Below are 27,505 nucleotides of genomic sequence, written 5' to 3' on the forward strand. Positions count from 1 at the left end.
TCCATCTCAAAAAACAAAACAAAACAAAACAAAAAAACACTTTCTTATGCTTAGCAAGGAGAGAGGGTGTCCCCACTCTGTATCTTTAATGTAGCTATTCTTTATGTTGCTTTAATATTTTTATACCCATATATCCATACATATAAACAGCATTAATTTCTAGCTCTATATAAAACTTCCCATATGTCAGGCATAGTTCTAAGTGCTTTGTCTGTATTTATCCATTTAATCTTCACAACAACATCTAAGTCTAATTTCGAGATGAGGAAACTGAGGCATAAGGAGTTAAGTAATTTGTCCCAGGAAGTCTGGCATCAGAATCTTACTGTCTTGAATGGGCACAGTGGCACACGCCTATAATCCCAGTGCTTTGGGAGGCCGAGGCGAGAGGATTGCTTGAGCCCAGGAGATCGAAGCTGCAGTGAGCTGTGATCACACCACTGCACTCCAGCCTGGGTGACAGAGTTAAAAAAAAATTTGTTATATTCACCTTTTGAATTTTCTCTTCTGTTCCCTTTTATCTTCTTTCTAAACAAAACAAAACAAAGAATCGTATTGTCTTAACCACCAAGACACCAAGAGGTAAGCCAGAGAGAGAGAGAGAGAGAGAAAGACAGAGGCTAGGTGCAGTGGCTCACGCCTATAATCCCAGCACTTTGGGAGGCTGAGGCGGGTGGATCATTTGAGGTAAGGAGTTCAAGACCAGCCTGGCCAACATGGTGAAACCCTGTCTCTACTACAAAAATTGGCCGGGAAGTAGTGGCCCATGCCTATAATTCCAGCTACTTGGGAGGCTGAGGCTGGAGAATTACTTGAGCCTGGGAGGCGGAGGTTGCAGTGAACCGAGATCATGCCACTATACTCCAGTCTGGGTGACAGAGTGAGACCCTGTCTCAAAAAAAAAAAAAAAAAAAAGAGAAAGAGAAAGAGATTTTATATAGTGAGATTTTCATATATCTGAGATGAGATTTGATATATGTATACAATTTTACACATTGCATACATGTGATCATATACACCTTTTATTTATTTATTTTGAGATGGAGTTTCGCTCTTGTTGCCCAGGCTGGAGTGCAATGGCGCGATCTCGGCTCACTGCAACCTCTACCTCCCAGGTTCAAGCGATTCTCCTGCCTCAGCCTCCCGAGTAGCTGGGATTACAGGCATGCGCCACCACACCTGGCTGATCTTGTATTTTTAGTAGAGGGGGTTTCTCCATGTTGGTCAGGCTGGTCTTGAACTCCCGACCGCAGGTGATCTGCCCACCTTGGCCTCCCAAAGTGCTGGGATTACAGGCATAAGCCACCATGCCCAGCCATATATGGCCATACACATCTTTTAATGTGTTGTTTTCCTTTAACATTTTTTCCTTCCCTATTCACATTAGTTCCTCCCACCATAGAATCCATAATATCACTTTAATGTGTTATCTATGTTTTTTATGTATTCATTATACATAGACTTATATATACTGATACCTTTAATCACATACACATATACAAGGTTTCTTTTTGTCATTATTTTAAAATAGTCTCTTAAAAAATAAAAATAGTGGATCATATTAAATAAATATTTCTGCATCTCACTTTTCTCACACACCTGGAAACCCCTGCAATTTTATTAATTTGTAATTTTTTTTATTTTTTTATTTTTGAGACAGGGTCTCGCTCTGTTACCCAGACTGGAGTGCAGTGGCACGATCAGGGCTCACTGCAGCCTTGACCTCCCGGGTTCAAGCAATCCTTCCACCTCAGCCTCCTGAGTAGCTGGGGCTACAGGTGCGCACCATTACACCTGACTAATTTTAAATTTTTTTGTAGAGACCAGTTCTCAGTTTGTTACCCAGGCTGGTCTGGAACTCCTGGGCTCAAAAGATCTTCCTTCCTAGGCCTCCCAAAGTGCTGGGATTACAGATGTGAGCCACCGGGCCTTAGGTATCCGATGGGAATTCCAGGCCAGGTGGGAGGAAAGGGTAGTGCATTGGCACCAAGTAACGTTTCTGGCTGGGTCTTGCCCATCCCCTTGTTGGGTGGCCAGGAGCGCTCAGCCTCCAGAGGCAGGAATGCTGACTGTGTTATTGTGAAATCATTTGCATATTGTGAAGTGCTTTGCATAAGATGGAGCGCTTTTGCATACAGGGAGGGGGGCATTTTAGAAGTCCTAGGGCAGGATCCCTGAGTAGCTTTTCTTTGCCAAGAAACTAACCCAGGGATTCCATTTTGGAACTCAGGGAGGGAACAGAACGTCCTGGCAGTTGTATGGGCCCGGTGGGGTGAGATGGACAGAAAGCTTCAGAAGACAAGCTGGGCCACCAGGGAGAAGTTGGCGGTCTAAGGAAGGCCAACAGTGCAACATGAAGTGGGACAGGCACCAGAGGCAGCCCTGAGAGCTGAGTGTGCTCTCAAGAGCCCCAGCAGAGGGGAAAGTGACAGAGTAAATGGTTGGAGCTGCCATGGGAGGCTGATGAGGGTCAGAGACTTAAGAGACCTGTACTCAGTCGCTATCTCTGCCCAAGTGAGTACCCACATGCCCCTTCCTGAATCTTCTCCTGTACTGGCTGATTTCCAGAGAAGAATACAAACTCGAAACGCCAAGCCAGACTCCCACTGCTGTTCAGGACCTAGACGTGAGAAGTGGTATCACATACTCTGGCTTCAGGACACCCAGGTTTGAATCCTGGCTCTGCCATCTGTGCCACTGTGTGACCCTGGGCTAACAGTACCCACCACAATGGGATAATATGAGGATTCAGTGAGATAGTGCGAGTAAAGTGAATAGCACATAGTAGGTGGTCAGTAAATTGCGGTTATAAGAACTGCTATCCAGTGTTTGCTGCCTTAGTCTAACCAAAGAGGTCAGGTCTAGCTTCCTCCAGGTGAGGGAAGCACAGAGCCCTCGCCTCCCAGGTTTGGAGTTCCCATCAGCAGGGTCCAGCCACCATGCATTGGACCCCAAAGGGTTACAAGCCCTGGAGACAGTGGCCTGAGGTTCCCAGTGAAAAACCAAAGCATAAAAATAATTCGATGAGTAAGAATAAAATTCCCTCTTCTGAGGTTCCCGGGGCCAGGCCCCTCCCTGCGGCAGGCACTTCCCCTTTCCCTTGCTCATGGAGGAGCCAGGCCGGGCTGACTCAGAGCAGGAGCGCACAGTAGTCCTCCCAGCCCGACCTGGGCGGCGTGGTCTGGCGGCCGGGCGCGCCCCCGTGCGGCCACGGGCAGACTGCGGCCCTGGACGGGAAGCGGCGGCCAGATCCGCAAGCCCCGCAGCCTGGTCGATCGCGGTCCCCGCAGAGCCGCCGCTTCCGTCCCTGCCCAGCCTGGCTGAGCGCGGTGCGTGTGGCTCTCTCACTTCCGACCGACCCTCCCCTCCGGCCCGCAGCCCTGCCCAAACGGAAGTGCGCCCTCTACCCGGGTCCCCCACCGCCGCGAGGCGGAAGCGCCCTCCCGCCGCCACTCCCCCCGACCCCGCGGCACGCGGCGCCTCGGGTTCCGGACAGGCCCCTTGTGACGTGGCCGCGCGCCGGGGGCGGCCCCGGGCCGGGGGCCGGGCGGCCGGGCGGCCGGGCGGGGCAGAGCCTGGGCGGGGCGCGGCACCGCAGCTGGATGGCTGGGGCCGCCCGGATCGCCGCCGCCGCCGCCGCACGGTGAGTGCCAGCAGGACCCTCGGGGCCCGCGCCCCGGGCGTGATGGACCCGGCCGATCCCTCGCCCCGTCCGACTGGTCCTCATCAGACCTGGGCCGGCTCCCAGGACCCGGGAGTCAGGCTCGCCCGCTTCGGCCTCCTCTCCCCCATCGCTCCGCGCCCCACGCCCCATCCCTCCCTCGCTGTCCTCTCCGCGTCCCACCCGCCTCTCTCTAGCTCTCTCACTCTCTACTTTCCTCTCCCCTTGGACTCTCCGTGTATTCCCTCCCGCTAGCCTGTGGTCCCCTCACCTCTGCGTGACCGCCTCGTCCTGGCCCAGTCTTGCCTGTGGTCCCCAGTGGAGCCCCGCTGGCTTCATCAGTGCCCCTGATTAGTTAAGGCCTGGAGGTCCTAGACATGGGCATCTCTGCCACCACCCAGAGGCAGCTGCTTTCTTCCCCTCCCATCTCCATCAGAAGGTGAGGAAACTGAGGCAGGGACATCACCAGCTCAAGGTCACAGCCAGCCTGAGGCAGAGCAGACCACATTTAAACCTCATGCCCGAGTTTCCAGATGGAACTTCTCGCTTGGTTGACTCACGTCCACATCCTGTGATCGGCCGGCTGGGCACATTCCTGCTGCAGGGAGCCCCAGGCCTTCCCTGGCACAGGCAGGGCCTCTGCGCCTCCTCATGCCGGGTACATCCACCTGCACTTTCAGGCTTATCTCGTCCTCACAGCTGAGGCAGGTGATATTGATCCCTGTCCTGCAGATGAGGGCACTGAGGCTCAGAGGGGGGGCTTCAGAGATTTGCCCAGAGTTAGACAGCTCAAAGTGCAGCATAGAATTCACCGTGGGGGCTCTAAAGCCTGCGCTATACAAGAGAGAGGCATCCCCTGGCTAAAGGCTCCTTCCTCATCAGCCCCATCTCCTGTTGCCCTCAGTGCCCTGGGGACATTGGTCTCATGTCCTAGGAAGAAGCGTGGATGGTCTTGCCCTGGCTCATCTGCTCAGTTTCCCCACGTATGTCTCTCTGAATCCACCCCATCCCCTTAGAAGGGGTGCCTCAGTCTCTGGGGTGTCGCGGGCGGCAGGGCCTCCCCTGGCAGCCAGAGACACCCAGCTGGGCCGGGCCGTGCCGCCGGTGGCTGAGGAGAGCCAGCCAGCGCCTCACCCTGTCATTAGGGAAAGTTTAGCCTCAGGCGGAGGTGCTGACACAGTCTGGAGCTGCTCAGAAGGAAAAAATACGCAGTGCTCAGGAGTAGGGTGTGGAGACACAGGGCCCCATTGCTGTGCACCCAGCATTTGGATGCTCAGACGCTCTGGCAAGGACAGCAGGAGGGTGGATGCCAGGGTCCCTTGCGGGGAGGAGGGAGGCGCCACGTTTCCTAAGCAGGTGTGCGGCCAAGGCTGTAGCTCATATAGGTGGCCTTTTGTGTTTTTCAGTACGTGGCATGCCTGGATGTCCCTGCCCTGGCTGTGGCATGGCGGGCCCAAGGCTCCTCTTCCTCACTGCCCTTGCCCTGGAGCTCTTGGAAAGGGCTGGGGGTTCCCAGCCGGCCCTCCGGAGCCGGGGGACTGCGACGGCCTGTCGCCTGGACAACAAGGAAAGCGAGTCCTGGGGGGCTCTGCTGAGCGGAGAGCGGCTGGACACCTGGATCTGCTCCCTCCTGGGTTCCCTCATGGTGGGGCTCAGTGGGGTCTTCCCGTTGCTTGTCATTCCCCTAGAGATGGGGACCATGCTGCGCTCAGAAGGTAGGTGACTCTCCGGTGGCGCCCAGGGCTGGCCAGGGTGTGGGAAGCATGCTGCTGCTCTTCTTAGGAGACCCCAGGTCACAGAGTGTCTGAGATGGAGGGAGAGGATAGAATAGAACTTCTCCCCTTGGTCCTGTAGGAGCTATCTAGCCAGGGGCGGCTGGCTCTGGCTTCCCCAGGAAGCTATGAGCACCTGGTAGCAGGGCCTGCCCCTGGGGAGGGGGTCTAGGAGATGGGGATGTGGGCACGGGTGGGAGCTTTGTCCTGACTACCCTTTTGTACCATGAGCATGTACTGCCCGTTCACAAATAACATGTTGTAACAAAACACGCAGGAGAGCTCTAGGGAGCTGCTAAGAATGCACGTGCCTATCCCCCACCTAAGAGGGGTGGACCAAGGCCCTGGGAATCTGTTAGAAACGAGCATCCCAGGGGCTGGTGCTGCCAGCTGGATGCTCAGGAACCATTCACTTACCAGATGGTTACCCAGCAGCTCTGTGCCAGGCACTGGGCTGAGGGCGGTGCCACAGCTGTGAATAGAGCCCTGCTTGGGCCATGGTCAGGCCTGTGCTCAACCCTCAGAGCAGCCCTGCGGGGTCAGTGCAGGGAGCACCTGGATTATTAGTTCCATTTTACAAGTGGGGATGCACAGGCACAGAGAGGTTCTTTGACCAGTCCAAGGTCACCCAGCCAGGAAATAGCAGTTTCCCCTGGGATCCCACCCCAAACCCAGCTGCCTCTGTCCTCTAGGCCTCAGTTTCTCTATCAAGCCAAAGGGTTGGACATGGCTTTCAGGCAGGCGACTTCCAACCCTGGATGCTGCAAGTCCCCAAATCTCTGCCACTTTTCTGAGAGTGACAGCAGCTGAGAAGAGAAAAATTCCCACGTAATGAGCACTTGCTGTACATATTGTCATTTAATTCCCATAAGAGCCCATAAAAGGCTCACAGCTGTAATCTCAGCAGTTTGGGAGGCTGAGGTGGGCAGATCACCTGAGGTCAGGAGTTCGAGACCAGCCTGGCCAACATGATGAAACCCCGTCTCTACCAAAAATACAAAAATTAGCCGGATGTGGTGGCACACACCTGTAATCCCAGCTACTCAGGAGGCTGAGGCAGGAGAGTCGCTTGAACCTGGGAGATGGAGGTTGCAGTGAACCAAGATCACGCCACTGCACTCCAGCCTGGGCAACAGAGCGAGACTCCATCTCAAAACAAAACAAGATAAAATAATAATTCCCATAAGACCCAATTTACAGATGGAGAAACCGAGTCTCCAAAGTCATCTGCCAAGGTCACCAGCTAGTGGGTTGGGAGCTGGGACCTGTCAGCTCTTCACCATGACATGGTGGTGGCCCTGTGGGCATTTGGCAGGGTGTGGTGTTTCTGCTGTGAGGTGGGGGACCCAGGAAGAGCAGCCACCCATATCCAGCCTTGCAGGCCCAGAAAGAGCCCAGTGAGTGGGGTGGGATGAAGGTCAGGCCAGGAGCTCCAGCCAGTCAGCCCCCAGACCCCGCATCTCTCCCTTGTAGCTGGGGCCTGGCGCCTGAAGCAGCTGCTCAGCTTCGCCCTGGGGGGACTCTTGGGCAATGTGTTTCTGCATCTGCTGCCCGAAGCCTGGGCCTACACGTGCAGCGCCAGCCCTGGTAAGTGAGGCCACACGCCAGGGGCAAGACAGTGCCAGGAGTGGGGGCCTGGTGCCCACGCCCAGGGATGGCCAGGATGACCAGGAGAGGGATTCTGGGTTTCTGGCAGGAGCTTGCCTGGGAGGGAGGGAGGGTCATTGTCCTGGTCTCTGGGCCCTGGTCCCAGTGGGAGTTCTGGGCCCCAGCTGCCCAACCCACCCTTGTCACTGCCCTGGTGCCCTGGATGAGATCCCATTCCAAATGGCCCCCTCCTATGGCCCTGGCTTGGCTTGGCCTGGCCTGGCCTGGCATTGCCGCCCCCTGCAGGTGGTGAGGGGCAGAGCCTGCAGCAGCAGCAACAGCTGGGGCTGTGGGTCATTGCTGGCATCCTGACCTTCCTGGCGTTGGAGAAGATGTTCCTGGACAGCAAGGAGGAGGGGACCAGCCAGGTGGGCCCCACACTCAAGGGCCTGGATATATCAGCCTCTGTTCTGTGGTAGTGCCCGGGGCCTGGAGGCCCAGGGTCTGAGTTGAGCCCTGAAAAGAGGGGTCTCCTGGCCCTCTCCTGGGAGCTGCGGGAGGTTGGGCCACCTTCTTTGGGACTGACACCATTAGCCCCTGATGTAGCTTGTTCTGGTAGCCTGATGGTGACAGCAGTTGGGGAGGGTTTGTTGAGTTTGGGGGCACCCAACTGATATAGCAGCAGAGGATTCTAGCTAGAAAAAACAGGGGTTCCTATCTTTTTTTTTTTTTTTTTTTTTGAGACGGAGTCTCGCTCTGTCACCCAGGCTGAAGTGCAGTGGCACGATCGTGGCTCACGGCAACCTCTGCCTCCCGGGTTCAAGCGATTCTCCTGCCTCAGCCTCCCGAGTAGCTGGGACCACAGGTGCGCGCCACCATGCCCAGCTAACTTTTGTATTTTTAGTGGAGACGGGGTTTCACCATGTTGTCCAGGATGGTCTCGATCTCTTGACTTCTTGATCCACCCACCTCAGCCTCCCAATTATTATTATTATTTTTTTGAGAAGAGTCTCGCTCTGTCACCCAGGCTGGAGTGCAGTGGCGCGATCTCGGCTCACTACAGCTTTCACCTCCCAGGTTCAAGCAATTCTTCTGCCTCAGCCTCCCAAGTAGCTGGGACCACGCCCAGCTAATTTTTGTATTTTTAGTAGAGGTGGGGTTTCACCATGTTGGCCAGGCTGGTCTCGAACTCCTGACCTCAGGTGATCCATCTGCCTTGGGCTCCCAAAGTGCTGGGATTACAGGCATGAGCCACTGCACCCAGCCCCCGTCTCTCTTTCTCCATCTCTCTCCCCTTCTGTCTGCCCTGGCTGAGTGGGGGGCATCTAATGTCACCTCTCCCTCCTTCTCCTGGCCCTAGGCCCCCAACAAAGACCCCACTGCTGCTGCCGCCGCGCTCAATGGAGGCCACTGTCTGGCCCAGCCGGCTGCAGAGCCCGGCCTCGGTGCCGTGGTCCGGAGCATCAAAGTGAGTGGCCTGCTCAGGGCCCCTGCAGCCGTACTGCCCTGAGTGGCCAGCCCCACTCAGCCCTGCCTCCTGCCTTCCCTCCTTCCCAGGTCAGCGGCTACCTCAACCTGCTGGCCAACACCATCGATAACTTCACCCACGGGCTGGCTGTGGCTGCCAGCTTCCTTGTGAGCAAGAAGGTGAGGGGCTTGGGGCCAGTGGGGCTCTGGCGATTCCAGTGGCAGCCATGTGGATTCCACCTGTGTCTGGAGTCTCTGCTTCTTGCCCCTCCATTGCCAGCGCCCTCATCTAAGGCTCTCATCCCCCATCCTCCCTGCTGCTGTCCTGGCCGCCACTGTTCTCTGATCCTGAGCCCCTGGTCTGTTCCTGTTCCCAGTACTCCTTGTTGGGTGCCTCTGTCAAGCTGCTAGGCGTGGCCCCTGCCTGCTCCTAGATGCTTCTTCCTCTACCTCCTCCCTCTGGCCTCTGGCCTCTGGCCCAGAGGCAGCCTACTCTGCAGCTGGCCGAGATCTTTCCCACCTCACACTGTTCCCCCTGCCTGGAATGTTCTCCCGCCCACGCTTCGAGCGGCTGACGACTCATCCTTGGGGCCTCGACTTACATGGACTCCTCCACCAGGCCTTTGCTGACCTCCTCATCTAAATTTGGTTCCTGGGCCTGCTCCCCTGGGCACTCTATCCATCCTTTCCTTCCCAGCGCCTGTGAGTGTGTGAGTGAGTCCTGTCTCTCCCCTCTATACCGCTAGCTTCGTGAAGGCAGGTTCCTTGTCCCCTTTAGTCACTGCTGTATTTCCAGTGGCCAACACAGTGCCCACCCAGAGCCAGCTCAGAGCAGAGTAAACCTCTGTGGAATGAGTGGGCGAGTGGGGTGCTCAGCCCTCAACACAGACCCCGCAGCCACGGCTCCCCTCCCTGCAGATCGGGCTCCTGACAACCATGGCCATCCTCCTGCATGAGATCCCCCATGAGGTGAGCGCTTGTAGGGCAGCCCCCAGGGGCCCAGGCCCCCACAGTGCCCATGATCAGCATGGGTGTGGAGCTCAGGAGGGTGTGGGGCTGGGCCTGTCCAGCATGGCACTCTGGGGCTGGGCTGTGAGGGCTGGAGCTCCTCACCCCAGCAGCCTGCAGCTGCCATCTCTGCCATACTCAGGATGGGGGTCCCAGGGGAAGGGTGGGGAAGGGCAGGGGGCTCAGTGTGTATATCGTACCTGAGCACTCAGGGCATCAGGCCCCGCTGGGGCGCAGGGTGAACCTCTGGACCTCCCTTCAGGTGGGCGACTTTGCCATCCTGCTCCGGGCCGGCTTTGACCGATGGAGCGCAGCCAAGCTGCAACTCTCAACAGCGCTGGGGGGCCTACTGGGCGCTGGCTTCGCCATCTGTACCCAGTCCCCCAAGGGAGTAGGTACGGGCGTGGCGGGTGGTTGTGGCGGGTGGCATCAGCAGAGGGGCACCAGCCAAAGGGTGTGGCTACCGCACTGCTGGTCCCCAGGCCCGGGAGGTGGGGAGCACACACAGTGCCTTGGGTACCCAGTTGGGTGTTCTCCCGCTGCAGAGGAGACGGCAGCCTGGGTCCTGCCCTTCACCTCTGGCGGCTTTCTCTACATCGCCTTGGTGAACGTGCTCCCTGACCTCTTGGAAGAAGAGGACCCGTGGTGAGTGACCTGTTGGAGGAAGAGGACTGCCACTCACAGGGCCCTTAGGGGCTCAGGAGGGAAGGGCTCCTGGCCGCTGCCTGCTCCCCCTGCCCATGCCTCCACCGTGAGCCGTTCCCTCCCCACAGGCGCTCCCTGCAGCAGCTGCTTCTGCTCTGTGCGGGCATCGTGGTAATGGTGCTGTTCTCGCTCTTCGTGGATTAACTTTCCCTGATGCCGACGCCCCTGCCCCCTGCAGCAATAAGATGCTCGGATTCACTCTGTGACCGCATATGTGAGAGGCAGAGAGGGCGAGTGGCTGCGAGAGAGAATGAGCCTCCCGCCAGACAGGAGGGAGGTGCGTGTGGATGTATGTGGTGTGCACATGTGGCCAGAGGTGTGTGCGCGAGACCGACACTGTGATCCCTGTGCTGGGTCCGGGGCCCAGTGTAGCGCCTGTCCCCAGCCATGCTGTGGTTACCTCTCCTTGCCGCCCTGTCACCTTCACCTCCCGGAGTAAGCAGCGAGGAAGAGCAGCACTGGTCCCAAGCAGAGGCCTTGCCCTGCTGGGACCCCGGGAGTGAGAGCAGCCCAAGGATCCAGGGTGCAGGGAACTCCAGAGCTGCCCACCTCCCACTGCCCCCTCAGCACACACACAGTCCCCAGGCGGCCTAGGGGCCAAGGCTGGGGCGGCTTTGGTCCCTTTTCCTGGCCCTTCCTTCCCCACTTCTAAGCCAAAGAAAGGAGAGGCAGGTGCTCCTGTACCCCAGCCCCACTCAGCACTGACAGTCCCCAGCTCCTAGTAGTGAGCTGGGAGGCGCTTCCTAAGACCCTTTCCTCAGGGCTGCCCTGGGAGCTCATTCCTGGCCAACACGCCCTGGCAGCACCAGCAGCTCTTGCCACCTCCAGCTGCCAAACAGCAGCCTGCCGGGCAGGGAGCAGCCCCAGGCCAGAGAGGCCTCCCGGTCCAGCTCAGGGATGCTCCTGCCAGCACAGGGGCCAGGGACTCCTGGAGCAGGCACATAGTGAGCCCGGGCAGCCCTGCCCAGCTCAGGCCCCTTTCCTTCCCCATTGAGGTTGGGGTAGGTGGGGGCGGTGAGGGCTCCACGTTGTCAGCGCTCAGGAATGTGCTCCGGCAGAGTGCTGAAGCCATAATCCCCAACCATTTCCCTTGGCTGACGCCCAGGTACTCAGCTGGCCCACTCCACAGCCAGGCCTGGCCCTGCCCTTCACCGTGGATGTTTTCAGAAGTGGCCATCGAGAGGTCTGGATGGTTTTATAGCAACTTTGCTGTGATTCCGTTTGTATCTGTAAATATTTGTTCTATAGATAAGATACAAATAAATATTATCCACATACTGGCTGCCTTGGTTCTGCACGGCCTTCCATGGCCAGGCAGGGCCTTCCTTACTGCCACTGCCAGGCCCTTGTCTCTGAACTGTCACCCCAGTGCATCTCTGAACGTTCCATGTCTTCCTGGCTTAACTTTTTATTCCAATGACTGAGCACCTATATGAGCCTGGCCGTATGCCATTTTAGCCCCTCACCACCACAAACTCCAGGACGCTGTCCTTATCTTTTTTTTTTTTTTGAGACAGAGTCTCACTCTGTCACCCACACTGGAGTGCAGTGGTGCGGTCTTGGCTCACTGCAACCTCCGCCTCCTGGGTTCAAGCAATTCTCCTGCCTCAACCTCCCAAGTAGCTGGGATTTACAGGTGTGTGCCACCACGCCTGGCTTTTTTTTAAAAGTAGAGATAGGGTTTTGCCATATTGGCCAGGCTGGTCTTGAACTCCTGACCTTGTGATCTGCCCGCCTCAGCCTCCCAAAGTGCTGGGCTTACAGGTGTGAGCCACCGCACCCAGTTAGTGCTGTCCTTATAGACCTGAAAGCTGGAGCATTTTCCCCACCTGCCCCCCATTCCACCTTGACTGAAAATGTTATCAGGGAAGGGAGCTCCAGCCACAAAGTCATCTCTAGGTTTGGCCTCAGTGAAATTAAGCTCTCATTCGCTTAAAAAAGAAAGGCCGGATGTGGTGGCTCACGCCTGTAATGCCAGAACTTTGGGAGGCCAAGGTAGGGGGATCGCGAGGTCAGCAGTTCGAGACCAGCCTGGCCAATAAGGTGAAACCCTGTCTCTACTAAAGATACAAAAATTAGCCAGGCGCGGTGGCACGTGCCTGTAATCTCACCTACTCAGGAAGCTGAGGCAGAATTGCTTGAACCCAGAGGCGGAGGCTGTAGTGAGCTGAGATCACACCACTGCACTCCAGCCCGGGTGACAGAGCAAGACTCCATCTCAAAAATAAATAAATAAAAAAGAAAGAGAAAAGAAGAAAAAAGAATATGGGACCCTTATTCAAAACCACACACCCTCCCTTCTGAATGTGTGGAGTATAAGAACACCAGGCGCAGGGCGCCCCTTCCCCAGTCCTGTCAAGAGAATGGGGGTGGGGGTGTCCAGTCCACCTCTTCCCTCCCAGGACCACCGTCAATAGCCCACTGGCTGGGATCTGCAGTCTGGGCAGTGTCATGGAGCGTGGGAGAGGTGGGTGTGAAACCCCAGTGATGTCCTTAGCTGGGAGTGCTTGGCTGTCAGTATTTCTATCAGCAAAACATTTTAAAACAACATAGTATTTGCTTCACCTAGCTGCAACACATCCCGTAAGATAACTGTCTCAAGGACCCATTGACTCCTGGCCTCAGATCCAAGGAATGAGCCATGGCCGTCCCAGCCGGCTGCCCCCCTCACCTATGCAGGTGCTCAGGGCTGCTAGCTGGGGTGCCAAGCCCTGCTGGATGGCAGACAGTGCGTGCAAGCATCACAGCCCACTGGAAGAGGCCGGGGGCCCCATTTTAGAGATGAGGAACCCAAAGCAGGGTGGGTGTGGTCCCTGTGGGGGAACTTGGGTGTCATGGTCAGGAGCAAATGCCCTGTCCGGTTAGAAGAGAGAACAGGAATGGAGGACTGGGGCGGCCAAGTCCAGGGCAGGGGACAGAAACAGAAGCACTTCAGGGGTTGTGCTGCTGGACTCCTGAGGCAGGGGCTGGGGAGTCAGTGGGAAGCCAAGCAGGGCCACCCAGGGAAGGCAAGGGGCCAGCTGGAGTGAAGAGATAGCAGAATTGGGGGAGGGGAGCACAGCGTGACAGACCAGTCCTAGAGGGGCTCCCAGTGGATCCTGTTCAGGCTCAGTTTTTGGCCAAAGATAGGGAGAGAAAGAGCTAAGGGGGTATCTGGAGAAAAGGGGACCCAAGGGCCAGGAAACAAGGGAGGATGCTGAAAGCCTAAACCCAAGCCTGGCTTTACCAGGAGGCAAGGACTAGTGCCAGACACCAAAATGCCGAAAGTGAAAGGGTGGCTTCTATCCAGGTCCTCTGTGCAGGAACTGCAGGGCCATGAGCCTCTGAAAGCTCAGAGCAGAGTGGTGCTCGGGGAGAGAGGGCTCTGAGGGGCCTGAAGGCCCAGGCAGCAGCTGCAGCACCACACACAGCCCCAGAAAGCCTCATCCTGACCAGTGGTATGGGGCCCACGGCTGTCTCCGGGTTTCCAGGCGTCAGCACCTGGGGAAGGTGCCTCCCACACACGCCCCCACTCCTCCAGCCAGAGCCCAGGGAAGGCAGACAAGCAGCGGCAGGGACCCTAAACCATCTTTTATTGCGCACTTCAGCCGTGAGACTGGGGCTGGCCTGTGTGCCCTAGGCGTAGTATTGTAGGTTGGCTTTCTTCTTGGCCTGCACCTCCAGGATGCCTTCCATGTAGTCCTCGTGGGTGAGCTCCGTGGCACCCCTGCGCAGTGCGATCATGCCCTACAGCCGGGACAAACAGAGTCTAGGTCTGAACGCCTGAATGCCTTCCCTGGCTCCCTGAGGCTCAGGCCTCTTCCCTCAGCCGTCTCCACCAGCCAAATGCCCCCATCCTGTCCAGGGAGGGGGCAAGAAGGCACAAAGCAACGCACCCACCCCAGCTGACCACTCACCGCCTCCACACACACAGCCTTGCACTGGGCCCCATTGAAGTCATCTGTGCAGCGGGCCAGCTCCTCGTAGTTCACGTCAGGACTGGGGACAGGACAGATACCACAGGCTCAGTGGCTTATGCGGAATGGGCAGAGGGGCCAAATATCCTCCCCTGGCCCCGTCAAGCAACAAAGTCAAGTTGCCCTGTGATCAGAGGCAAGTCCCTTACTCAATGCGCCTTGTTTTCTTCTCAGTACAAGATGTGGGGGATGAAGGGAGGAAGTTAATGCAGGTTATAACAGGTTATTTCTAGGGTCTCTTGAGCTCTGGCCTTCTAGAAATCTGCATCTGGGACTCCAGGGACTGACTGTCCTCATCCTGTGCCCAGCACTGCGCTTGACACTGTCACATCTAATCCTTACCACGACCCTGTGAAATCAGTGCTATCATCCCCAAGTCCCAAATAAGAAAAGTGAGGCTGAGGCCGGGCGTGGTGGCTCATACCTATAATCCCAGCACTTTGGGAGGCCAAGGTGGGCGGATCACAAGGTCAGGAAATCAAGACCATTCTGGCTAACAAGGTGAAACCTCGTCTCTACTAAAAATACAAAAAATTAGCCGGGCGTGGTGGCGGGCGCCTGTAGTCCCAGCTACTCGGGAGGCTGAGGCAGGAGAATGGCGTGAACCCAGGAGGCGGAGCTTGCAGTGAGCCGAGATCGCGCCACTGTACTCCAGCCTGGGCGACAGAGCGAGACACTGTCTCCAAAAATTAAAAAAAAAAAAAAAAGTAAGGCTGAGAGAGGGCATGCCACCTGCTGAGAGTCATACATATCTGAACTCAAGTCCATCTGGTCCCGGCCATTCCTGGCGTGTGTTAATGGGCTGAGGTGTGAGGCCAGGAAACTAAGTGCCTCCAGCCTCTGTGCCTTCAGATGAGGGGTGGAGTCTAAGGAGCAGAGCACCCAGAATTACGACATGGGCCCTGGCAAGACGCTACATCACACAACTGAGGAGAAACGGAGGCTGGCGTGTGGAACGGTGCTGTGTGTGCCTGGGGCCTGGGAGGTGGTGGTCGTGGAGGCTGGGGAAGATCAGTACAGAGAAGCATGGCAGAGACATCCTCCTGCGCCTGTTCAGGTCTCTGTGCCCTGCCCGTGCTCCTGCTCACCTGACATTCATCTTTCGGGAGTGGATCTGCATGATTCTGGCCCGGGCCTCCTCATTGGGCATCGGGAACTCTATCTTGCGGTCAAGGCGGCCCGAGCGGAGGAGGGCGGGGTCCAGGATGTCCACCCTGTTTGTGGCTGCAATTACCTGAGGAAGAGAAGCCACAACTTGAAAGGAGCAAGGTGTTCACAGATGGGCAGACACGGTCAAAAAAGGCAGAGAGGCAGCCCCCAGAGTGCAGGTGAGACACATGGGATGTTAAAGACAGATCCCAATTCTCATTCCAGCTCCACCACTGGCTAGCTGGGGGCCTGACAGCTCCTGACCTCTGAGCCTCATCATCTTTGCCTGGGAGTGCTAATACTCACCTTAACTTGGGTGTTGGGCTGGAAGCCATCCAGCTGGTTCAGAAGCTCCAGCATTGTCCTCTGCACCTCCCGGTCCCCAGCCTTCTCACTGTCAAAGCTAGGGCACAGGAAGCCCGAGATGCTGGTGAGGGCACAGCTTAGGCAGAGCCCTCCCCTCCTCTACCCCCTGGAAGCCTAACCTAACCCGTCCAGGGCAGGGAAATGGCTCACTCAACTTGGGGCCCCCAGCCCAGGGACTGGCACATAAAAAGTGTCATTAATTGTTGACCACATTCAGAGACTGAAGAGACTCCTAGAATCAGGTGCTGGGCTGAGGATAAAACAGTGAGCAAGGCTGGGTGTGGTGGCTCATGCCTGTAATCCCAGCACTTTGGGAGGCCAAGGTGGGCCTATCACCTGAGGTCAGGAGTTCGAGACCAGCCTGGCCAACCAGGTGAGATGGTGAAACCCCATCTCTACTAAAAATACAAAAATTAGCCAGGCGTGGTGGCAGCCACCTGTAATCTCAGCTACTCGGGACACTGAGGCAGAATTACTTGAACCCGGGAGGTGGAGGTTGCAGTGAGCCGAGATCACGCCACTGCACTCCAGCCTGGACGACAGAGCGAGACTCCATCTCAAAAAAAAAAAAAAAAAAAAAAAAAAGCAAAACCAACCACTGCTTGGGCTGTTAACTGTGATGAATGTACACTTGCAAACTGAGCTAACGCTTAAAAACACAGGTATCTGGCCCAGCCTTGGACGGTGCTGTACAGGAGAGCCCAGGCAGGCATCCCCCGGGAAGTATCCCTGAGGCTGAGATCTGAAGGTTGAAAGCACACCAGCTAGGCAACCAACCAGTGGAGAACAGGGTAAGAGCCACGGCGGGCCTGAAACGCAGGAAGCACCGTGGCAGGAGTCCAGAGCAGGGGAGGCTGGGGACAGGCATGAGATGAGGGTGAAGGCGCAAAAAGGCAGCACACGTTGAGCCTTGTAATTCCAGCATTTATCCCAGGGAGCAACAGGGAGGCCCAGGAAAGTTTGATTTTTTTTTTTTTTTTGAAACAGAGGCTCACTCTGTCATCCAGGCCGGAGCACAGTGGCACAATCTCAGCCCACTGCAACCTCCGCCTCCCAAGTTCAAGTGATTCTCCTGCCTCAGCCTCCCAAGTAGCTGGAATTACAGGCGCACACCACCACACCCGGCTAATTTTTCTATTTTTAGTAGAGATGTGTTTCACCATGTTGGCCAGGCTGGTCTCGAATTCCTGACCTCAAGTGATCTGCCCACCTCAGCCTTCCAAAGTGTAGGGAATACAGGAGTGAGCCACTGCACCCAGCCAGGGTTTTTAACAGGATTGGTTTATGTCAGGGACCACTGTGGGTTCATGTGAGCGAGGTGGCCAGATTCCTGCTTTGGCTTTTTTTGTTTTGTTTTCTTTTTTTTTTTTTGAGACAGAGTCTCACTCTTTCACCAGGCTGGAGTGCAGTGGCGCAATCTTGGCTCACTCCAATCTCTGCCTCCCAGGTTCAAGTGATTCTTGTGCCTCAGCCTCCCAGGCATCTGGGACTACAGGCGCCTGCTACCACGCCCAGCTAATTTTTTGTATTTTTAGTAGAGACAGGGTTTCACCATGTTAGCCAGGATGGTCTCGATCTCCTGACCTCGTGATCCGCCTGCCTCGGCCTCCCAAAGTGCTGGGATTACAGGCGTGAGCCACCGTGCCCGGCCCAGATTCCTGTTTTGAAAGGAACATGCTGGCAGCTGTGGGAATGAATGGCTGGGGAAACAGGGAGGCTATTGATCAGGAGTTAGGAATTGGAATCTCAAGAGTTGAGGAGCCACCATCCAGGGGCAGGAGGGGATACAGGGTGGGAAGGAACCACAATTTAGCACAACTGAGAGTCAACCCGCTTCCCCTTACCGCCACAGAGATCGCTAGGGACCCTTGGCCCTCCCTTACCGCTTGGTGCCGATGGCATCCAACTCATCAATGAAGATGATAGAGGGCGCTTTCTCCTTGGCCAGGGCAAAGGCATCCCGGACTAGCTTGGCACCATCTCCAATGAACATCTGCACCAGCTGGGGGCCAGCCAGCTTTAGGAAGGTGGCCTGGCAGGAAAAGGTGGTAGAGTCAGGTCAAAGGCAGACCCTTTGAGCCCATCTGGTAGAGTTTCTGCTCCTGCCCACTTCCCCCGCATCCCTCCCAAAGTACTCACCTTAGTCTGTGCGGCACAGGCCCGGGCCAGGAGGGTCTTCCCCGTCCCTGGGGGCCCATACATCAGCACCCCTTTTGGAGGTTGGATCCCCAAGTTCTCAAACTTCTCCTTGTGGTTCATTGGCAAGACAATGGCCTCCACCAGCTGCCAGGAGGAAGTCCTGGGTGAGGAGATGAAGCCCTGAGGGCTTCTACAGCCCAACCCTTCATGGCTCCAACCCCAATCTGCATCCCTCCTACTCTAACTCAGGGACACGCCCATTTCTTTCCCCATATCAAGAGGACACAAGGCTGGGCGCGGTGGCTCACGCCTGTAATCCTAGCACTTTGGGAGGCTGAGGCGGGCGGATCACAAGGTCAGGAGATCGAGACCATCCTGGCTAACACGGTGAAACTCCGTCTCTACTAAAAATACAAAAACATTAGCCGGGCGGGGTGGTCGGGTGCCTGTAGTCCCAGCTACTCAGGAGGCTGAGGCAGGAGAATGGCATGAACCCGGGACGCGGAGCTCGTAGTGAGCCAAGATCACGCCACTGCACACCAGCCAGCCTGAGCGGCAGAGCAAGACTCCGTCACAAAAAAAAAAAAAAGAGGACACAGAACACTCATCCCCACCCAGGCTGGCTATGGACTCTCCAGGAACGGGAGTATATGGCAGAAAAGACACCGGGCCAGGGGCTGGGAGCAGTGGCTCATGCCTGTAATCCCAGCACTTTGGGAGGCCAAGGCACGCGGATCACCTGAGGTTGGGAGTTCGAGACCAGCCTGACCAACATGGAGAAACCCCGTCTCTACTAAAAATACTCCGCTAAAATTAGCCAGGCTTGGTGTCGCATGCCTGTAATCCCAGCTACTCGAGAGGCTGAGGCAGAATTGCTTGAACCCGGGAGGCAGAGGTTGCGGTGAGCCGAGATCGTGCCATTGCACTCCAGCATGGGCAGTAAAAGCAAAACTCCATCTCGGAAAAAAAAAAAAAAAGGACACTGGGCCAAGAACCAGGAGCCTGGGCTCCAGTCCTGGCTCTGGTCTCTCTGTGATCCTGGGCAAGGCATTTAAACTCTCTGGGCTTCAGTCTCCTCACCTGTCACATGGCACCCCTCCCTTCCTCCCTAGGTTGCTATGAGGATGAAAGACACATTAGGGAGATGAGCTGCATCAATGGCGTGGAGAAACTAAAAGGCTGACAAGGCTGCTGGCAGCTGCCGTGCCTCCCTCACCTCCTGGATCTGCTTGTCCAAACCCCCAATGTCACTGTATTGCTCCGTGGGCCTCTCGTCTACCTCCATGGCCTTCACCCGCGAGTCATACTCTGTGGGCAGCGTCTCCAGGATCAGATAGGAGTCTTTGTTCACACCCTAAGGACACAGCACAGGGCCTTCAGATTTGGCCCAGCTCAAGGGCTACCCAACTGACTGGGTGACAGGTGTCTGCAGAGGGAAAGACACAGGACTGGGCAATACAAGAATCAAACAGCAAGTAGACAGAATCCCAGACTCTCGGAGCTGTTCTGCCAAGATTCAGAGCCAACAGTGACCTGGGGCGGGTACAGGGGCTCAGCTAGTCACCAGAAAAGCACTGCCTGGGCTCAGGCCCCACTCACCACCAGGTCTCCTGGCTTTAGCTTTTCAGCATCCACCAACCCAATCACAGGAAGGAAGTACGTCTGTGGACAAGTTACAGGGGCAGTCTCAGTTAGTGTCCTCAGGGAAGGCTCCCTAGTCCTGTCCCACATCCGCTCCTCACCCTCCTCCAGTCTCTCATTGCTGAGCCACGCTCACCTGTCGTGTAGAGGTTTTGATCACAGCACACTTGCCCTTCCTCTGGGAGTCCAGGTCAATATTGGCACCATCCTCCTCTTGGTCATTAGGATCAACATCCAGGAGCTGGGAAGGAAAAAATACTCAGCTCCTTGAACTCCCCAAGGCCCAGTGCTTCCTAAGACAGTTCCTAATACCTGCAGGGCTGGCCATCCTTACCTCCCTCCTCCAATAGCCCTGAGCCCACCAAACGTGGGTGCCCCTGCTAAGCCCAGGGATTGATCTCTGTGTAGGTGCTGCTCCTCTGCACAGGGCTCATCTACCCCGGAGGAGACATAACCAACAGAAAAGGAGACACGTGAGACCTCCCAGGACTTTGCAGGCCCCGTCTTCCCCATGAAAGTGCCCCAGGAGGTGTAGCTCTGACATGCAGTTTGGCCTCAATACCTCCACCCACTCTTTCCCTAGTGGCCCCACCCCAGGCTGTCCCCATTCCCTGCTGACTCCCTCTCTTCCCCTCCACATACACACACACCTCGATGACGTTGGAGACAAGGTACGGCAGGGTCTTGTTCACTTTGATTTTCTCACTGTTCTCTTTTATCTTGTCCTTCATGGCTTGGAGCTCATGGGTGACTCTCAACACTTCACTCTTCATGATCTGAGATCAGGAGGGGAGGAGAAGCAAATATAAACCCTGGCACAGCTTATGCTAGAGCCCTGTAACTAGTGAGGTCCAGGGTGCCCAGGGGACCCTCCCGCATCCATTCATCCAGCTCTGAGGCTCTCTGAAGGCAGAGTCTGACTGTGTCCACATCCTGCAGAAGTCAAAAGAGGAGGCCAGTTTGGAAACCTCCTGGTGAAATAGTGGTAGTATTGGAATAAAAGCAGGCCTCCGAGAGAGGCAAACATAGGTTTTAGGTTCTGCCTCATAGTAAGAACTGGGTGCTTTATCGCAGTACAAACCTCTCTGGGCCTGTCTCCTCATCTGTAAAATAGGCATTTTACTAAAAGAAGGATTCTTGAGAGGATTATTCCCAGTTCTCACTGGGAAAGGCAATCTGATAACTTCTCATCTCAGCCCAGGCCTCCCACCACCCCCTACCTGTCTTCTTGTCCCTTTTAAGGCTTAGTTTTCTTTCCTCTCTTCCTGATATGAGGGGGAAGCCCGAGCCCCATGTCTCCCCCAGGGTGCCCGATTAGGAAGTACGAGAGGCGACTCGGATCGCCGGGGCCTGTCCTGTGGGGGCTCCATCGCCCGCACAGGAGCTGTGCGCCCACCTTGATCTCACTGTCCAGCAGCCGTGTGCGCTGGATGATCTCCTCCGTGGACATCTTGAGCACCTCCTCCCCAATTCCATCTTGCTGTAAAAAATTATTTGTTTATTTATATATTTACTTTTACTCAGGACAAGCATCCCTCGTTCTCCGAACCCACTCACAGCCTCAGTTTCCACGCCCATAAAACCAGGATGGAGTCAGGACCCCTGCCCACATCCCAAACAACCCCGTCCCCGGGATCGGGCCAGACCTTGACCCCCAGCCACCTCCTTCCCTCTTGTCAATGGCGTCTCCCTGCGGGCCCCGGTTCCCGGACCGCCAGCTCGCCCGGTGCCCACCTCGGCCTCATCCCACACGGTCGCCATCTTCTCCTGCCGAGTCACTGGACTCTCAATATTCGGCAGCAGATTCATTTCCTGGAGGAGCGGGCAGAAGATGGGACCAGGCGGGAGCCGCAACGGGAGATTAATACCGTCTTTCTTAAAGCCTTCTCTTGACCAGTGGAAAACCTCTCCCCACAAATCCCGACTCTTGACCCGACCAGCTCCGGCCGTGCTGCGGAGCAGCGAATCTGCCTCTCCGATTCCAAAGACCAACCCCTGGCCACAGGCCCCGCCCCCGCGGACCCCGAAACGTTCCCGCCCGCGTCCTATTTTTGCCGGGCGCGAGAGGTGGGGCCGCTATTGGCCGACACGCGCGTTGGGGGCGGGGCCTATGTGTAAAACCGGAAAGGGAGGGAGAAGGGTGGGATCCGCGAGGGCCTTTGGGAAATGTAGTCTTTAATCTGGCCCGTGACAGATGCTTGCGGAGGGGCGCGTTCAAACTCAGACCGTGACCCCGCTAGGAATAAGGGGATTTACACAATGACACTGCCTCCCAATTAATAAACGACATAGGCCAGCCGTGTGCAAAGGGCCAAAAAGGCATGCCACCTCAGTCCGCATTTTTACAATTATTTAAGTACAAGCTGGCCACCCGGAGTTACGGGAGGGAATCATTAACCAGCTTTAAAGAGAAATCGCTGCTGCTCCTAACGTCAGAGCAGGCTTCACGGAATTGTCCACGTGGGAAGAACTCAATTGACCATCAGCCTCTACGATTAAAAACATTATGACTCGGGCCGGGCGCGGTGGCTCACGCCTGTAATCCCAGCACTTTGGGAGGCCGAGGCGGGCGGATCACGAGGTCAGGAGATCGAGACCATCCTGGCTAACACGGTGAAACCCCGTCTCTACTAAATATACAAAAAATTAGCCGGGCGTGGTGGTGGGCGCCCGTAGTCCCAGCTACTCCGGGCTGAGCCAGGAGAATGGCATGAACCTCGGAGGCGGAGCTTGCAGTGAGCCGTGATCGCGCCACTGCACTCCAGCCTGGGCGACAGAGCGAGACTCCGTCTCAAAAAAAATTATGTCTCGTATCTGCAATTGTTTGTTTTCTCTGACCATGGTTAGTAATCTCAGTGAGCAGAGCGGGTCTCCGGATCATGGGAGACTCATTCGTTGTACCCTTGTCGGCTATTTTAAATGATCTCTCCTTATCCTTTGAGGTGAGCCCTGGAGCCCCTTTAAAGGGAACTTCATGTAAGCAACATAGCTTATATTTCAAGTCAAACCATCACAAACACTCTGTTAACCTGATGAAAATCTGTGCAATCGTTGCCTTTTTTTTGTTTGCTTGTTTGTTTTTTGTTTTTTGAGACGGAGTCTCGCTCTGTCGCCCAGGCTGGAATGCAGTGGCGCGGTCTCTCCCTACCGCAACCTCCGCCTCCCGGGTTCAATGGATTCTCCTGCCTCAGCCTCTCAAGTAGCTGGGATTACAGGCACCCACCACCACGCCCAACTAATTTTTGTATTTTTAGTAGAGACAAGGTTTCACCATGTTGACCAGGCTGGTCTCAAACTCCTGGGCGTAAGTGATCTTCCTGCCTCAGCCTCCTAAAGTGTTGGTACTATAGGCATGAACCACTACACCTAGCCTTTGCAGTAGTTTTTTTTGGAACACGGTTGAAAGCAGAATTTTTTTCTTTAAATAACAACATGTACAGCTGCTCACTCAGGCTGACAAAGCGTCTCCTCAAGTAACAGTGCTTTATTCCATTCTCTCAACAAGCCTGCCTTGTGGACAGACTGAATTACCATTCTCAAATTTAAATAAGCATAGGGAGGCTCAGAGAGGTTAAGTGCCTTGCTGGAGGTTATTCAGTGAGTCACTGGCAGCACTAGGACTGCTGACCCCAAATTCTCACTTTGAGTTGCCCGATAGGAGCCAAGAAGCCCAGAGGGGAAAGACTGTCCAATCTGTGCTGGTCCCACTATGCCTGGGTCAGTTGGGTCCCATTCTGGGGCCTACTTTTGGAGATCCTGACAAATACGAATATGTTTAGAAAGCCTCCAGCCTGGGCCTAGGAGGGATGCAGACATTCTCCCCTTAACCAACTTTTAGGTAGGCTCTTCTGAGCCATCTTTTTTTTTTTTTTTTTTTTTTTGAGACGGAGTTTCGCTCTGTCGCCCAGGCTGGAGTGCAGTGGCGGGATCTCGGCTCACTGCAAGCTCCGCCTCCCGGGTTCACGCCATTCTCCTGCCTCAGCCTCCCAAGTAGCTGGGACTACAGGCGCCCGCCACTACGCCCGGCTAATTTTTTGTATTTTTAGTAGAGACGGGGTTTCACCGTTTTAGCCGGGATGGCCTCGATCTCCTGACCTCGTGATCCGCCCGCCTCGGCCTCCCAAAGTGCTGGGACTACAGGCATGAGCCACCGCGCCCGGCCTGAGCCATCTTTTTTTGACTAGGCCTTGTGGGCTGTTCCTTCATCCCTGTCATCAACCTGTCTAACCCTGTTTTCACAAAAATCCTGCTAGTCAGTTTAACGGAATCCCCCCACCCCTGATACCTCATCCCTCTAGATATATGATCCAGGTCCTCATTTATCCTTCACCTTTGAAGTATAAGCCCTTGGCCTGCTTTTTTTTTTTTTTTTTTTTTTTTTGAGACGAAGTCTTGCTCTGTCGCCCAGGCTTGAGTTCAGTGGTGCGATCTTGGCTCACTGCAACCTCCGCCTCCTGTGTTCAAGCAATTCTCCTGTCTCAGCCTCCTGAGTAGCTGGGATTACAGACACCCACCACCAAGCCCAGCTAATTTTTGTATTTTAGTAGAGACGGGGTGTCACCATGTTGGCCAGGATGGTCTCGACCGCCTCATGATCCTCTCGCCTCCACCTCCCAAAGTGCTGGGATTAGAGGCGTGAGCCACTGCACCCGGCCCTGAACATCTCCTTCTTTAATCCTGGCTAGAATGACAGGGATTGATTATCTTGGGAGCCCAGGAGTAGGAATGTCTTGGGGAGATGGGAGAAAAAGGAGAATAGTTTATGAAGGTTCACTCTGCTCAAAAAGGTCAAGGAAGTACCAGGAGGTCAGTCCCAGCAAGGAGCTGGGAACCTGGAGCAGAGCATGTCTTCAGGGAGAAAGAGGTTGGCTGAATTAGGGACCTCTGGTCCATCTGGGCCTCTAGAGAGAAGAGGTCTAGGCCAGGCCTAGAACAGATGTTTCTGTCTTGGCATCAAGCTAGGGTGAGAGCCACCAGGCCAAAACCCTGGAGTCATTCTTTGTTTTTGTTTGTTTGTTTTGAGACAGAGTCTCAGTCTGTCACCCAGGCTGGAGTGCAGTGGTGATTCTCCCACCTCAGCCTCCTGAGTAGCTGGGACTACAGATGCACACCACCACACCCAGCTAATTTTTGTGTTTTTGGTTTTTTTTTTCTGAGACAGAGTTTCACTCTTGTTGTCCAGGCTGGAGTGCAGTGGCACGATCTGGGCTCACTGCAACCTCCACCTCCTGGGTTCAAGCAATTCTCCTGCCTCAGCCTCCCGAGTAGCTGGGATTACAGGCATGCACCACCATGCCTGGCTAATTTTGTATTTTTAGTAGAGGTGGGGTTTCTCCATGTTGGTCAGGCTGGTCTTGAACTCCTAACCTCAGGTGATCCACCCGTCTTGGCCTCCCAAAGTGCTGGGATTACTTTACCTTAAACAAATATCCAGAATTCAGAAATAGTAAGATCTGAATCAAAACAATCAAGCGGAGGGTGTGGAGCTTGGTGGGGCTTTTGGGGGTAAACAAGATTGTCCATGTGCTGAAATGCATAGTTAAGGCTGAGATGGAAATCATTGGTTTCTCTCCTTTTGTATCTATTTGAAAATTTCCAAAACGAAAGATATAACTCCTCCTAACCCCCTTGAATAGGACCATTTCTCACTCCCTCCATTGCCTATCACCCTGGTTCAAGCCACCATCATCTCAGACCTAGCTTATTATTATTATTTGGCATTGCTGTTGCATTTGAGATGGAGTCTTGCTCTGTTGCCCAGGCTGGAGTGTGGTGGTACTATCTTGGCTCACTGCAACCTCTGCCTCCGAGGTTCAAGCAATTCTCTTCCCTCAGCCTCCCAAGTAGCTGAGATTACAGGTGTACACCACCATGCCTGGCTAATTTTTATATTTTTAGTAGAGATGGGGTTTCACCATGTTGGCCAGGCTGGTCTCGAACTCCTGACCTCAAGCGGTCTGCCCGCCTCCATCTCCCAAAGTGCTGGGATTATAGGCATGAGCCACCGCTACCCCTAGATTATTATGGGGACCTTTCCACTGGTCTCCTGGATTCTACCCTAACCCTCCTGTGATGATTAATTTTGACTGGGCCATGGGATGCCCAGGTGTTTGGTTCAACATTATTCTGGGTCTTTTTGTCAGGCTGTTTTTAGACAAGATTGACATTTAAATCAGGAGACTGAGGAAAGCAGGTTGCCCTCTCTAATGTGGGCGGGCCTCATCCTGTCAGTTGCAGGCGTTGAACAGAAAGGCTGACTCCGAGGGAGTTCTTCCTGCCAGATTCCCTTCTGACAGGCATAAAGGTCTTTTCTGCCTTTGGAGTTGAACTGAAACATTATTCTTCACAGGGCTTGAGCCTGACAGCCTTCAGAGGAGAACTACCCCATCGGCTCTCCTGGTTCTCAGACCTTCTGAATCAGGCTGGAACAAAACCATCAAGTCTCCTCGGTCTCCAGAACTCACCCTGCAGATCTAGGGACTTGCCAGACTCCATAATCACATGAGCCAAGTCCTTATACTACATCTCTTTATATAGCAGGTTGGTGCAGAAGTAATTGCAGTTTTTGCCATTAAAAGTACAAGCAGCCAGGCGCGGTGGCTCACGCCTGTAATCCCAGCACTTTGGGAGGCCGAGGCCGGTAGATCACCTGAGGTCAGGAATTCGAGACCAGGCTGACCAAGAGTAACCCCGTCTCTACTAAAAATACAAAAAAAATTAGCCGGGCGTTGGTGGTGGGCATCTGTAATCCCAGATACTCAGGACGCTGAGGCAGGGGAATTGCTTGAACCTGGGAGGTGGAGGTTGCAATGAGCTGAGATCGCACTATTGCACTCCAGCCTGTGCGACTAGACCAAGACTCCATCTCAAAACAAACAAACAAAAAAACACAAAAAACAAAAGTACAAGCAAAAAGATCCTATTGGTTCTGTTTCTCTGGACAATGCTTCCTAAAATCTACTATTTTGAAAAACCCTTTATTTTGAAAAATGTTGAACATACAACAAAGTTTAAAGAATAGACAATGAACACCTGTGTACCTTTCGTCTAGATTTGCCAATTGATAACATTTTGCCACATTTGACTTTGCTCTCTCTTCCTCTGTGTGTGTACACACACACATTTATTCCCAAACCATTTCAAAGTAAGCTACAGGCTGGGTGAGGTAGCTCATGGCTATAATCCCAGCAGTCTGGGAGGCCAAGATAGGAGAATCTCTTGAGCCCAGGGGTTTGAGACCAGCCTGGGCAATGTAGGGAGAGCCCATCTCTAAAAATAATTTTAAAAAATTAGCCAGGTGCGGTGGCACATGCCTGTAGTCCCAGCTACTCAGGAGGTGGAGGCAGGAGGAACACCTGAGCCCAGGAGGTCAAGGCCGCGGTGAGCTATGATCATGCCACCACACTCTGGCATGGATGACAGAGAACGTCATTTCTGTCCGGGCACAGTGGCTCATGCCTGTAATCTCAGCACTTTGGGAGGCCAAGGTGAACAGATCACTTGAGGTCAGAAATTTGAGACCAGCCTGGCCAACATGGTAAAACCTCGTCTCTACTAAAAATACAAAAATCAGTGGCGCGTGCCTATAGTTCCAGTTACTTGGGAGGCTGAGGCAAGATAATCACTTGAACCTGGGAGGCAGAGGATGCAGTGAGCTGAGATCAGGCCACTGCACTCCAGCCTGGGCAACACAGCAAGACTCCGTCATAAAAAAAAAAATCAAAATAACTTCCAGACTTCATGACACTTCACCTGTAAATACTTCAGCCCGTGTCTCCTAAAAACAGACATTTTCATACATAGCTATGATACATTGGTAGTATAATACCTTGTCAGCTGGGGGTGGTGGCTCACGCCTGTAGTCCCAGAATTTTGGGAGGCCAAAGCAGGCGGATCACTTGAGGTTGGTATCCGAGACCAGTCTGGCCAACATGGAGAAACCCTGTCTCTACTAAAAATACAAAAATTAGCTGGGCATGGTGGTGCATGCCTGTAATCCCAGCTACTCAGGAGGCTGAGGCAGGAGAATCACTTGAGCCTGGGAGGTGGAGGTA

At 54.7% G+C, this 27,505-nt stretch overlaps 2 protein-coding genes and 1 long non-coding RNA gene across 33 annotated transcripts in view, besides 9 other annotated features; 1 reads left to right on the forward strand and 2 right to left on the reverse strand.

Annotated features, from left to right (window-relative positions):
- The window catches only part of SLC39A13-AS1 (SLC39A13 antisense RNA 1), a 27,668-nt gene extending 23,405 nt beyond the window's left edge, over nucleotides 1–4,263 (reverse strand). For 3 of the 5 annotated variants that reach the window (NR_182307.1, NR_182308.1, NR_182306.1), the window contains exons 1-2: nucleotides 3,933–4,263; nucleotides 491–528 (exon numbers count right to left, since the gene is read on the reverse strand). This is a non-coding gene — a long non-coding RNA (SLC39A13 antisense RNA 1). The remainder of the gene's footprint in view (nucleotides 1–490; nucleotides 529–3,932) is intronic. The other 2 variants (NR_182305.1, NR_182304.1) reach the window with 1 other exon arrangement.
- Nucleotides 2,257–11,481, forward strand: SLC39A13 (solute carrier family 39 member 13). Of its 27 annotated transcripts, none has more exon segments than NR_134854.1 (11): nucleotides 2,257–2,514; nucleotides 5,068–5,376; nucleotides 6,907–7,020; nucleotides 7,327–7,448; nucleotides 8,381–8,488; nucleotides 8,578–8,667; nucleotides 9,406–9,456; nucleotides 9,758–9,886; nucleotides 10,041–10,140; nucleotides 10,269–10,477; nucleotides 11,306–11,481. NR_134854.1 is itself a non-coding variant. In NM_001441271.1 (11 exons), the coding sequence occupies exons 3-11, from the start codon at nucleotides 5,076–5,078 to the stop codon at nucleotides 10,342–10,344; spliced, it is 1,095 nt and encodes a 364-aa protein (NP_001428200.1). In that variant the 5' UTR covers nucleotides 3,571–3,643; nucleotides 4,566–4,644; nucleotides 5,068–5,075; the 3' UTR covers nucleotides 10,345–11,477.
- Nucleotides 2,853–3,675: an enhancer, noted in NCBI's record as "H3K27ac hESC enhancer chr11:47429423-47430245 (GRCh37/hg19 assembly coordinates)". NCBI's record gives its function as "activates a minimal SCP1, AML or CMV promoter by ChIP-STARR-seq in primed H9 embryonic stem cells {active_cell/tissue: H9 hESC(primed)}" and the evidence as "EXISTENCE:reporter gene assay evidence [ECO:0000049][PMID:30033119]".
- Nucleotides 2,853–3,873: a biological region, named in NCBI's record as "H3K27ac hESC enhancer GRCh37_chr11:47429423-47430245".
- Nucleotides 3,084–3,873: a silencer, noted in NCBI's record as "silent region_3328". NCBI's record gives its function as "represses an Ori minimal core promoter by ATAC-STARR-seq in GM12878 lymphoblastoid cells {active_cell/tissue: GM12878}" and the evidence as "EXISTENCE:reporter gene assay evidence [ECO:0000049][PMID:35858748]".
- Nucleotides 3,964–4,830: an enhancer, noted in NCBI's record as "H3K4me1 hESC enhancer chr11:47430534-47431400 (GRCh37/hg19 assembly coordinates)". NCBI's record gives its function as "activates a minimal SCP1, AML or CMV promoter by ChIP-STARR-seq in naive H9 embryonic stem cells {active_cell/tissue: H9 hESC(naive)}" and the evidence as "EXISTENCE:reporter gene assay evidence [ECO:0000049][PMID:30033119]".
- Nucleotides 4,831–5,695: an enhancer, noted in NCBI's record as "H3K4me1 hESC enhancer chr11:47431401-47432265 (GRCh37/hg19 assembly coordinates)". NCBI's record gives its function as "activates a minimal SCP1, AML or CMV promoter by ChIP-STARR-seq in naive H9 embryonic stem cells {active_cell/tissue: H9 hESC(naive)}" and the evidence as "EXISTENCE:reporter gene assay evidence [ECO:0000049][PMID:30033119]".
- Nucleotides 8,867–9,366: an enhancer, noted in NCBI's record as "H3K4me1 hESC enhancer chr11:47435437-47435936 (GRCh37/hg19 assembly coordinates)". NCBI's record gives its function as "activates a minimal SCP1, AML or CMV promoter by ChIP-STARR-seq in naive H9 embryonic stem cells {active_cell/tissue: H9 hESC(naive)}" and the evidence as "EXISTENCE:reporter gene assay evidence [ECO:0000049][PMID:30033119]".
- On the reverse strand, nucleotides 13,756–21,420 carry PSMC3 (proteasome 26S subunit, ATPase 3). Its single transcript, NM_002804.5, has 12 exons — nucleotides 21,186–21,420; nucleotides 20,848–20,931; nucleotides 20,102–20,227; nucleotides 19,588–19,692; nucleotides 19,410–19,472; nucleotides 19,027–19,164; nucleotides 17,811–17,954; nucleotides 17,555–17,703; nucleotides 15,612–15,708; nucleotides 15,245–15,390; nucleotides 14,097–14,178; nucleotides 13,756–13,926 (listed from the first exon to the last, which is right to left on the reverse strand). The coding sequence occupies exons 1-12, from the start codon at nucleotides 21,258–21,260 to the stop codon at nucleotides 13,816–13,818; spliced, it is 1,320 nt and encodes a 439-aa protein (NP_002795.2). The 5' UTR covers nucleotides 21,261–21,420; the 3' UTR covers nucleotides 13,756–13,815.
- Nucleotides 21,047–21,258: a silencer, noted in NCBI's record as "fragment chr11:47447617-47447828 (GRCh37/hg19 assembly coordinates)". NCBI's record gives its function as "represses an EF-1alpha promoter that drives an FKBP-Casp9 reporter gene in an ReSE screen in phorbol 12-myristate 13-acetate-treated (for megakaryocytic differentiation) K562 erythroleukemia cells {active_cell/tissue: K562(+PMA)}" and the evidence as "EXISTENCE:reporter gene assay evidence [ECO:0000049][PMID:32094911]".
- Nucleotides 21,229–21,428: an enhancer, noted in NCBI's record as "active region_4699". NCBI's record gives its function as "activates an Ori minimal core promoter by ATAC-STARR-seq in GM12878 lymphoblastoid cells {active_cell/tissue: GM12878}" and the evidence as "EXISTENCE:reporter gene assay evidence [ECO:0000049][PMID:35858748]".
- Nucleotides 21,529–21,658: a silencer, noted in NCBI's record as "silent region_3329". NCBI's record gives its function as "represses an Ori minimal core promoter by ATAC-STARR-seq in GM12878 lymphoblastoid cells {active_cell/tissue: GM12878}" and the evidence as "EXISTENCE:reporter gene assay evidence [ECO:0000049][PMID:35858748]".

This window comes from Homo sapiens, chromosome 11, assembly GCF_000001405.40.
Source record: "Homo sapiens chromosome 11, GRCh38.p14 Primary Assembly".
Classification (NCBI taxonomy): domain Eukaryota; kingdom Metazoa; phylum Chordata; class Mammalia; order Primates; family Hominidae; genus Homo; species Homo sapiens.